At 52.4% G+C, this 11,248-nt stretch overlaps 1 protein-coding gene across 3 annotated transcripts in view; it reads left to right on the top strand.

The window, feature by feature from the left end:
- The window catches only part of NOTCH4 (notch receptor 4), a 29,225-nt gene continuing 20,572 nt past the window's right edge, over window positions 2,596-11,248 (top strand). For 2 of the 3 annotated variants that reach the window (NR_134950.2, NM_004557.4), the window contains exons 1-11: window positions 2,596-2,807; window positions 3,577-3,658; window positions 3,857-4,152; window positions 5,338-5,685; window positions 5,785-5,907; window positions 6,022-6,258; window positions 6,379-6,534; window positions 6,877-7,071; window positions 8,555-8,668; window positions 9,397-9,510; window positions 9,596-9,718. Coding sequence is in view for 1 of the 3 variants with exons in the window: in NM_004557.4 (NP_004548.3) it covers window positions 2,735-2,807; window positions 3,577-3,658; window positions 3,857-4,152; window positions 5,338-5,685; window positions 5,785-5,907; window positions 6,022-6,258; window positions 6,379-6,534; window positions 6,877-7,071; window positions 8,555-8,668; window positions 9,397-9,510; window positions 9,596-9,718 (1,861 nt within the window). In the remaining 2 variants the exon portion in view is untranslated. Of the gene's footprint in view, window positions 2,808-3,576; window positions 3,659-3,856; window positions 4,153-5,337; window positions 5,686-5,784; window positions 5,908-6,021; window positions 6,259-6,378; window positions 6,535-6,876; window positions 7,072-8,164; window positions 8,267-8,554; window positions 8,669-9,396; window positions 9,511-9,595; window positions 9,719-11,248 lie in introns of all 3 variants that reach the window. The other variant, NR_134949.2, reaches the window with a different exon arrangement.

Below are 11,248 nucleotides of genomic sequence, written 5' to 3'. Positions count from 1 at the left end.
ACCAAGAGCTTTAAAACAAGTCTATGTCTTCACCCTTTCACTCAGGGGTTTCACTTCTAGAATTTAGCCTAAGGCAATAATTAGCCATGCAAATATGTAAGTTCAAGGATATTTACCGAAGGTCTGGGCGCGGTGGCTCACACCTATAATCCTAGCACTTTGGGAGGCCGAAAGAGGTGGTCAGATTACCTGAGGTCAGGAGTTCGAGACCAGCCTGGATAACATGATGAAACCCCGTCTCTACTAAAAATACAAAAATCAGCCAGGCATGTGCCTGTAATCCCAGCTACTCAGGAGGCTGAGGCAGGAGTAGCTTGAACCCAGGAAGCAGAGGTTGCCGTGAACCGAGATCACACAACTGCACTCCATCCTGGACAACAGAGTGAGACTCCATCTCAAAAAAAAAAAAAAAGAAGAAGAAAAAGAAAAAAAAGAATATTTACCACAGCTCAGTTTATTATATGTTTAAAAATTGAAGGCCAGGTGTGGTGGTACACACCTGTAATCCCAGAGCTTTGGGAGGCCGAGGAAGGAGGTTGCCGTGAGCCCAGGAATTCAAGGTTATAGTGAGCTATGTGCGTGCCACTGCACTCCAGCCTGAGTGACAGAGCAAGACCCTGTCTCTAAAAAAACAGAAAGCAAATTGAGACCCACCTAAACATGCTATAATAGGAAATTGGTTTAAATGAACTAGTAGAATACTGGGTGACCATTATAAATGATGCTGGCTCACGGGCTTCCTAATGTGATACACTGGTACTCGTGCCCAAAAATGCATAAACACCAGACATACTCAAATTTAGGAACAGTCTACAAAACAACTGTCCTGTATGCTTAAAAATGCCAGTATCGGCCAGGTGCGGTGGCTCACGCCTGTAATCCCAGCACTTTGGGAGGCCAAGATGGGTGGATTGCCTAAGCTCAGGAGTTTGAGACCAGCCTGGGCACCATGGTGAAACCCTGTCTCTACTAAAATACAAAAAGTCAGCCAGGCGTGGTGGTGGGCGCCTGTAATCCCAGCTACTCAGGAGGCTGAGGCACGAGAATTGCTTGAACCCAGGCGGTGGAGGTTGCAGTGAGCCAAGGTCGTGCCACTGCAATCCAGCCTGGACTGTCTCAAAAAAAAAAAAAAAAAAGTCAATATAATGAAAGGCAAAGTACATTTAAGGTACTGTACTCATATTAAAGGAAACTAAAAAGACTCGACAGCTAAATGCAATGCAGGATGCCAAATGAGATCCTAGACCAAAGGAAAAAATTGTCATGAAGGACATTATGGGGCAATTGGCAGGACCTGAATTTGGACTGTCAATTAGATCATAGTATTACATCGGTCTAAGTTTCCTGATTTGGATAATTGTACTATATTATGTAAAAGAATGTTTTGTTCTTAGAAAATTTGCACTGATGGATTTAAGGGTAAAGGGTATCTTGTATGCAACTTACTCTCAAATGGTTCAGAAAAAAATACAAATGTGTATTTATAGAGAAATAATGATAAAGTAAATGTGGTCAAATGATATTAGTGGATGAATCTGAGTGAAGGGTATCCTGGAATTCTTTTTAGTATTTTTGCCCCTTTCCCATGAGATTAAAAGTATTTTAAAATAAAAAGCTAAAAAAAGGAAGAAAGTGGTGCTGGTGAAGTATATTCCCCGGTAGGGGAAGGCTCTCAGGTGCACCAGCAGCAGCCATGAGTGCCTCAACACCAGGGAGAGCACAGCTGCCACTGACACCTTCTGCCACCCTGGACTCTCAGTTCCCTGTGCTACTAAAGGAACTCAGTGTGTGGTTGACCCCAAAGTTGTCCTGGGTTGACTCAAGAAGGTAGGATGAGCATTCTGAGGCAAAGAATTCTCTTTTGTGATTTTATTGACTCCAATTTTGCATTCTGACTGGCATTCCCTGCATCCCAAGGACCTTGACAGCGGAGGGAGGCAGAGATGGAGGAAGTGAAAACTACCCAAATTCAGTGTTTGTTACAGACAATTCAGACTGCAAAATTTAGGGTAGACTATGTTCATTTATCACTGATAATGACAGTCTTAACATTCCCCTACAACAGGAAGACCAAGATTTCCCCAAAACCGGCCAGCATCTTGCCCATTTGCCAGAAGGAGAAAAATAAGTCCTGGCAAGAGCCAAGATAAGGCCCAGAAGCCCCTGGGTTCCTTTAGCCAAGGTGAGTGGTTTCAAATTATGACAAGTTGCAGGTTCTCTGAGAAGCATCTGTAATAACCTGGCAAATTAAGCATCCTCTCCTGGGAGGAGGAATACAGAACTCTGTAACCACCCAATACCTGTTTCCAGGTCCTGCCCCTCCTGGGGCACAGGGCAGCCACCTTGCAATTCTCATCCCTAGAAAGGAGAGACCAGATCAACAAACAGCAGGGCTGGGACTGCCCAGGGGGTTCCGAGATTCCTTCTCCCCTCCTATCACCTGCCCTCCAGGCACACCGTCCTACTTCCCCCTACTTCCCCAGGGGTTGTCAGGGACAGAAGGCCCCTCCTTCATCCCCCCTAGTGTTCCTCCACTCTTCCTCCGCCCCCCATTACTAGGGTGTCCAGGACATTGTGTGACTCAGGAAACAGCTCAGACGTGAGGCTTGCAGCAGGCCGAGGAGGAAGAAGAGGGGCAGTGGGAGCAGAGGAGGTGGCTCCTGCCCCAGTGAGAGCTCTGAGGGTCCCTGCCTGAAGAGGGACAGGGACCGGGGCTTGGAGAAGGGGCTGTGGAATGCAGCCCCCTTCACTGCTGCTGCTGCTGCTGCTGCTGCTGCTGCTATGTGTCTCAGTGGTCAGACCCAGAGGTGAGGCATGGCGTGGGTGAGGTGAGGGGACCCAGCTCCCTTAGGAGGATGATCAGTGGGGTGGGGGAAGAGGGCCAAGCCCCAGGCCGTGTGAGGGATGCTGGATGGAGGAGATTCTCACTGCCCAAATAGAGACGGCCTCCAGGGAAAGACGGCTCTGCCCATGGAGCTGCTTCGGGCCTGGTGCCAGGGGTGGTGACTGCTGGGGGATGGGTGAGAGGGTGCCCACCTCCAGGAAGAACCTCGTCAGCACTGGCACTGGAGGACTCTTGCAGCCATAGGGAAGAGGGGAAGAGGGAACACACTGACCACCTGCTTGGGGAGGAGATGAGAGGGAAGCAGGAGATGGGGACATGAAAGGTCAGGCCTACTAAGCCCTTTCTTAGTCCAGCTGTCCCCACCCCCCGGATGGCTCAATGCTCGGCCTTTCCGGGAGGAAATCTCTTCGAAGTCTCAGCCATTCACCTCCCGGGAGCCACCTCCGCCCCTCTTCTGACCCCTGTTGTCTTGCTTCCGAGAGATGGAGTCCGAGGCTGGACTTGGGAGGCCAGAGAATAAACAGGAAAGGGGGGTAGGGATTAGTAACTGGGACGGAGGGCACTGGGGCTGGGGCTGGGTACCATGTGGAGAGTGGGGACAGATGTGAAGAAGAGGTGGTTTAGAGTACCTGTGGGAGCTGCTGTGGGCAGGTCTCTCAGGAGCACCTAGAAGAGGAAAGGTGGAGGCACAGCACCCAGGGCTTCCATTGCGCCTGCCTCTCCACCCTCAGGGCTGCTGTGTGGGAGTTTCCCAGAACCCTGTGCCAATGGAGGCACCTGCCTGAGCCTGTCTCTGGGACAAGGGACCTGCCAGTGAGTGTGCCTTGCAGGAGTGGGAGACTGGAGAGAAAGGGGGAGGGAGAGCAGGGGGGGAGAGGTGAGGAAGTGAGACCAAAGAAGAAAGAGAGGAAGTGAAGGAGATGAAGGGAAACAAATGAAGGCAGAGGAGGGAGTGGGCAAGAATAGGAAGAGGGACCAGTGATGTGAGTTTTCCTCTCCTCCCCTGCCCAGGTGTGCCCCTGGCTTCCTGGGTGAGACGTGCCAGTTTCCTGACCCCTGCCAGAACGCCCAGCTCTGCCAAAATGGAGGCAGCTGCCAAGCCCTGCTTCCCGCTCCCCTAGGGCTCCCCAGCTCTCCCTCTCCATTGACACCCAGCTTCTTGTGCACTTGCCTCCCTGGCTTCACTGGTGAGAGATGCCAGGCCAAGCTTGAAGACCCTTGTCCTCCCTCCTTCTGTTCCAAAAGGGGCCGCTGCCACATCCAGGCCTCGGGCCGCCCACAGTGCTCCTGCATGCCTGGATGGACAGGTAAGCGCTGCTGGGGGCAGCCAGGAGGGGACAGGCAGGAGCAATGGGCTAGGCTGTGGGTGGGGAAGATAGAACTGGAGCCTGAGAAACTGCAAGCCCTTTGAAGACAGAAGCCATGAGAATCAACATGCCAATTCTTGGCAATCCACTTACCCACAACCAACATTCACCAGCATGGTTGTACTGATTGCTAAAATGTTAAAATATTTCCAAATTAAGGGTGCCATGAGCCCCCTTTGTGCACCATCCTGATGCCTGTTCTAGCCCCTTTAATCTCCCCATTGCCTAGCAGCTAGAAGAGGGTCATTGCTCTGCATACCAGGGGTCCTCCAGACTTTTGCATTCTGAGCATCTGAATGGCTCCCATTCTGAGTGGAGGGAGCCATTATATCACCTGGGAAGACTGCAGTGGTGGGAGGGGCACCGGGAAGGGAAGGATGTGACCCAGAGAGTGGATTGGGGGCCGCCCCAGGAGGAGGGGTGTAACCCTGGGGCAAGCTTAGTGCTTCATTCTAGGGGCTCTGCACCAGCCCCTGGATCCAAATGCTAGCTCTGCCACTGATCAGCTACATGACCTCATATAAGATATTTTAGCTTTCTGGTGTTCAGTTGTCAGCTGACAAACAGGGAGAGTAATGGTCACACTTCATAAGGTTGCTGAGAGGACAGAAGGGGCCGATGCTCAGGAGATGCTTGCTCAGCTCAGCACCTGGCACCTCCACTGCTGCCGCCATTACCACTGGTGCACATGGACTGTGAAGTGAGTCTCCAGGTGCCTAAACCCACTTAAAGATTAGGAAATGAGGATCAGAAAGGCAAAGTGGCTCACCCAAGGGTATACAACCAGTTGTGGCACAGCATGGTGCCACCTGAGTCTCCTGCCTGCAGACGTGGGGTGCTTTTCACCTCCCCCAAGATCACCCACGTCCCAGATTTTCTCAGGCAAGGCCAATTTGCAATACTCTCATCATCACTTTAGAAGATATGGTCACTCCAGATAAACCCTCCCAAGCCATGACATCGCTCAGAGCAGGGGTGATGGAACAGAGCAAAGAAAGTATGGTAATAAAGGGAAGGAAATATGAAAATGAGACCCAGAGATAATCCAGAGTGAGCACTGGGTAACCTCAGATGGGCTAGAATTCGTACAATGCTAGAAACGGCTCCCTCTGTCCTCTGCCTCAGGTGAGCAGTGCCAGCTTCGGGACTTCTGTTCAGCCAACCCATGTGTTAATGGAGGGGTGTGTCTGGCCACATACCCCCAGATCCAGTGCCACTGCCCACCGGGCTTCGAGGGCCATGCCTGTGAACGTGATGTCAACGAGTGCTTCCAGGACCCAGGACCCTGCCCCAAAGGCACCTCCTGCCATAACACCCTGGGCTCCTTCCAGTGCCTCTGCCCTGTGGGGCAGGAGGGTCCACGTTGTGAGCTGCGGGCAGGACCCTGCCCTCCTAGGGGCTGTTCGAATGGGGGCACCTGCCAGCTGATGCCAGAGAAAGACTCCACCTTTCACCTCTGCCTCTGTCCCCCAGGTGTGTCCTCACAGGGGCTCTCCGGCCGCCCCTCTCTCTGGGCAGGGCAGGATGTCTCCGTTGGAGCCTCCTCCCACAGCTGATCCATGACCCTGTCAGGTTTCATAGGCCCAGACTGTGAGGTGAATCCAGACAACTGTGTCAGCCACCAGTGTCAGAATGGGGGCACTTGCCAGGATGGGCTGGACACCTACACCTGCCTCTGCCCAGAAACCTGGACAGGTGAGTTGTTTAAGCCACATCCATGACACCCATGGCCCAGAGAGTTGGCCCCTGGCCTCCCCTACTCATAGGGCTCCCAGCCTTAGCCCTCGTCCCCTCCCCAACCCCCTGCAGGCTGGGACTGCTCCGAAGATGTGGATGAGTGTGAGACCCAGGGTCCCCCTCACTGCAGAAACGGGGGCACCTGCCAGAACTCTGCTGGTAGCTTTCACTGCGTGTGTGTGAGTGGCTGGGGCGGCACAAGCTGTGAGGAGAACCTGGATGACTGTATTGCTGCCACCTGTGCCCCGGGATCCACCTGCATTGACCGGGTGGGCTCTTTCTCCTGCCTCTGCCCACCTGGACGCACAGGTATGGGGGTAGAGGGTATCAGGAGGTGGGAGGTAGAGAAGGAGGGTGAGAGAAGCACCAGGAGGACTGCTAGGAGCTTCAAGTGGCCTTTGAGAGCCTCACCCCCTCTTACCCCTCCAGGACTCCTGTGCCACTTGGAAGACATGTGTCTGAGCCAGCCGTGCCATGGGGATGCCCAATGCAGCACCAACCCCCTCACAGGCTCCACACTCTGCCTGTGTCAGCCTGGCTATTCGGGGCCCACCTGCCACCAGGACCTGGACGAGTGTCTGATGGGTGAGGCCACTCCCACTTCAGAGCCTCTCTGAGCCTCAGACAGGCCTCTGCACTGAAGACAGAAAAGGGCAGATTGCTTTTCCAATTAAAAAACCAAACATCTTTTTCCTTGAATTTGCCCAGATTTGGCATCTCTTGCCTACATGACCCTCTCTCCAATGTTCAGCCCCTCAGTCCCCATGAGTTTGGTCCCTTATTTCCTTTCCATCTTAAAGACACAAGCCCCTTCCCCAATTTGGTCTCGTCTGCCACACGCAGGCCCCCACACCTTCCCTGACAGTCTCACCTCCTTGCCCTTCCTGCCCTGACCCCTGTGGACTCCCAGCTCTTCTCTCCTCCCAGCCCAGCAAGGCCCAAGTCCCTGTGAACATGGCGGTTCCTGCCTCAACACTCCTGGCTCCTTCAACTGCCTCTGTCCACCTGGCTACACAGGCTCCCGTTGTGAGGCTGATCACAATGAGTGCCTCTCCCAGCCCTGCCACCCAGGAAGCACCTGTCTGGACCTACTTGCCACCTTCCACTGCCTCTGCCCGCCAGGTATCAGCTGGATGGGGCCTTGGGTGGGGAAAACAGGGAACTAGTCCTGAACCCACTAGGAATGCCCCCTCCAGAGTAAGGACAGCTTCAGGCCAATTGGCGTAAGTTACCACAGATGCTTCTCTCTCTACCCCCAGACGAAAACTCAGGGACACCCAAGACCCCTAGGAGAGGGGTTACCACAGATGGTAGTGAGGTTATGCATTCCTCAACTTGGGGGGAAGCTGCCATTCATTTCATAGTCATCATAGAGGCTGCACAACCTGGTCCACTGTACACAGCAGCCCAGCAAGAGAGGGTAGAAGAGCAGTTCATAAACTTTCTGTGCTGCAGCCTTTGCTCAGGTCAACCCAGAATGCTCCCTCTGATTATAGAAACTCTCCCATGTAGAGATTCAAGGTAATCCCTTAAAATCCCAAAAGCCCTGTGATACAACAGGAAAATTTGGTACAACAAGAAAAAAATTGCTGCAAGACAGCACCCACCTCCAGGCTAGTTTTAAGGGGGAAAAGTCGCCCCAGGGAGACAGCAACAGAGCCAACATCAAGGAGTTGAATGAAATCAGAAAAATAATCGCCAACTTTATGCCAGGTACTGTCTGAGCATCTTACAGGCATTGTCTCATCTACTTATTACAATAACCCTATGAGGTCAGCACTGCCCATTTTATAACTGAAGAAACTGAGGCACAGAGAGTTTAAGTGACTTGTCCAAGGTCACCCAGCTAGCAAGTGGCAGAGCTGAGATTCAAACCAAGGGCTTCAACAATTATAACCACTACCCCATATTGACTTTCTAAACTGAGCGGCACCCAAAGATACTGGCTCAGGTCACCCAACAGACAATCATAGAGAAATAAGAGAAAACGGTTCGGTAACCCAAGGGACAACATTGTAGATATCAAGGAGCTTCAGAAGCAGACTCCTCAGGCAAGAAAAGAAAGGAAGCCAAGGTCCAGAGGTTGATCCCACCTCAATTCAGGATGAAACAGTGGAGACCAGGATGAACCCAAAGCAACGGGACAAATATAGGAGCAACAAGCTTCCCAGATGCACTTCAAATTCCTCCACTTTGGGATCTCTGTTCTCCCTAGCATGGAGGCCCACCCAGGGAGAACAAGAAGCGGGACTCATTCTCCAAGCCAATTTGTTCCTATTTGTACCTTGAGGTCCTCCAGGCTGATCAGCCTGCCCTGGTGAGCCCCGCCCTCTGTATACACAGGAATGGCCACCAGAAAGCCTTGTAGTCCTCCCGCAGGTCCCCAGCAAGCACCCTGTTCCCTGGCCTTTCACACCTCAAGGAGCAGGGCCACACACTGCGAAGCAGCAGGGCCTCAGGGTTCATCTTATTCAACCCCATGCAGACAGCACCTCGGGGGAGGACCGCCTGAGTGGGGCAAGTCAGGAGCAGGGCCGATTCTAGAACACAGGTCTCCCAGGCAGACCTGGCTGAGCCACAGCCCTCATGGTCCCCATGTCCCCAGGCTTAGAAGGGCAGCTCTGTGAGGTGGAGACCAACGAGTGTGCCTCAGCTCCCTGCCTGAACCACGCGGATTGCCATGACCTGCTCAACGGCTTCCAGTGCATCTGCCTGCCTGGTGAGTACAGATGCCTCTCTGGCCACCCTCAGACCCCAGGCCTCTGAACCTGCAGAGTTCAGGCTCAGCAATCACCCAAGGCCACTTGAAGCTCTCTCTAGCCAAGCCAAGGAGTCCTCCAAATCTGTCTTTGCTCCCCAAAATCTCTACTCTTACATCCCCAAATCTTCCCTTGCTTACTTGCCCATTCTCATCTCTGTCCTACCAAATCACCCAAAGATCCCTCCTTTCCAGTCCTCCTGCACAGCCTCTGTGTATGCATGTTGAGGTCCCAGGCTGGTCTTGGCACTCTCATCATAAACCCAGCAAAAGCTGCCCCAAGCCTTTCTTCTCCAGCCTCACCGGACACTCCTCTGTCCCCTGCTATTATAATAACTACACTTATTCACCACTTACTCCAGGCTAGCCATTTGGCTGAGTACTTTTCAGGCGTTATGTCATTTAATCTTTTTAACAGTACCATGAGGTAGGTTCCATTATTATTCCCCTTTTACACAGAACAGGAAACTGGGGCCTAGAGGGTTGACCAGCTTGCCCAAAGTCACACAGCTGGCAGGTGGCTGAGCTTCACCTTTTCTGCATCATCTCCTGTCACCCCACGCTCACCTGCCCCAGGTGTCTTCTCTGGGAAGCTCTGCAAGTTCACCTTTCCTGGCAAGGGAAGGCGCCATGCTGTGCCTCCCTCGATGACCTTGGCCTCCTCTCCCCACCCACTTCCGCCCCACCAGGATTCTCCGGCACCCGATGTGAGGAGGATATCGATGAGTGCAGAAGCTCTCCCTGTGCCAATGGTGGGCAGTGCCAGGACCAGCCTGGAGCCTTCCACTGCAAGTGTCTCCCAGGTAAACTGGGGCACACACTGTGGGGGACAGCGGGAGCAGGAGGCAGACATCCGTGCAGGTCCCTGACCTTCCTGCTGTGCCACAGGCTTTGAAGGGCCACGCTGTCAAACAGAGGTGGATGAGTGCCTGAGTGACCCATGTCCCGTTGGAGCCAGCTGCCTTGATCTTCCAGGAGCCTTCTTTTGCCTCTGCCCCTCTGGTTTCACAGGTTCACAGGGGAGGCACTGGAAAGAACTGGCAGAATATTTTATTCCATTTGGGTTGGGGCAGAGTTCATTGGTGGGTGTTTGATGGTTGGGATGTGAGAATAGAATGAGAATGGTATCCTTTAAAGTTATTTAGTGTAAAACCTGCACAATTGTACAACCATGGGGACAAGGGCAGGGGTTACCGTAGGGCCCACATGGGCCCAGTGTAAATGGTGTGATTGCGGCTTGGGAGCAGAGGACGGGGCTCAAAGAAAAGGCATTCACTTGCTTATTTAGCAAGCACTTACCAACTGCCTACTATGCCAGATACGGAGGCAAATCTGAGTAAGACAGTTGCCATCTTCATGTGACTTTAAGTCTAATACAGAGAGACCAACAAGTCTCCTGTTGATCATAGCCCACAGAGGTGCTCTGAGAGAAAAACGTGCAGGATATTACAAGAGCACAGAGGACCAGCCAACCCAGACTAAAAATGGAGGAGGTGATGGCTGAGATGAGTCTTGAAAGATAAGCAGAGGCTGGGCGTGGTGGCTCACGCCTATAGTCCCAGCACTTCGGGAAGCCGAGGCGGGTGGATCACCCGAGATTAGGAGTTCGAGATCAGCCTGGCCAACATGGTGAAACCTCGTCTCTATTAAAAATACAAAAATTACACTTTGGGAGGCCGAGGCGGGTGGATCATGAGGTCAGGAGATCGACACTATCCTGGCTAACACGGTGAAACCCCATCTCAACTAAAAATACAAAAAAATAACTGGGCGTGGTGGCGGGCGCCTATAGTCCCAGCTACTCCAGAGGCTGAGGCAGGAGAATGGCGTGAACCCGGGAGGCGGAGCTTGCAGTGAGCTGAGATCACGCCACTGCACTCCAGCCTGGGTGGCAGAGTAAGACTCCACCTCAAAAAAAAAAAAAAATACAAAAATTAGCCAGGCGTGGTGGCGGGCGCCTGCAATCCCAGCTATTGGGGAGGCTGAGGCAAGAGAATCGCTTGAACCTGGGAAGCAGTGGTTGCAGTGAGCTGAGATCACTCCACTGCACTCCAGCCTGGGTGACAGAGCAAGATTCCATCTCAAAAAAAAAAGAAGGAAGGAAGGAAGGAAAGAAGGAAGGAAGGAGAGAAGGGAAGGAAAGGAAGGAAAGGAGGAAATGAGGAAAGAGAGAAAGATAGAAAGATGGATGGTCAGGAGTCTGTCTAAATAGAGTGCCAGATAGTGTGTTTTAGCTGGAGATAACTGCATGTGCAAAGACACAGATGGAAGAAAAGCCCACCCCATTTAAGGAACTGTAAGAAAGTCAGAGTTAAGGGTACAGCAAGGCAAAGATGAGAAACACAGCTGTTGTACAAATGTCATGTCCTGCAGGACTCTGCATATCATTCTGAGAAAGTTAAACAATATCTTAAAGGCAATAGGGACCCATTGAAGGACAGGTTCATGGGTTCATAGGGAGTGAGTAAGGCAAGCATAAGAAGTGGCTTTGGCCCAATGAAGGATGTGGCTTTGGCCCAATGAAGGATGTGGAGGAGCTGT

This window comes from Homo sapiens, chromosome 6 (assembly GCF_000001405.40).
Source record: "Homo sapiens chromosome 6, GRCh38.p14 Primary Assembly".
NCBI lineage: Eukaryota > Metazoa > Chordata > Mammalia > Primates > Hominidae > Homo > Homo sapiens.
Note: the sequence above shows the minus strand (reverse complement) of the source record. Positions and strands in the feature narration are given on the sequence as shown.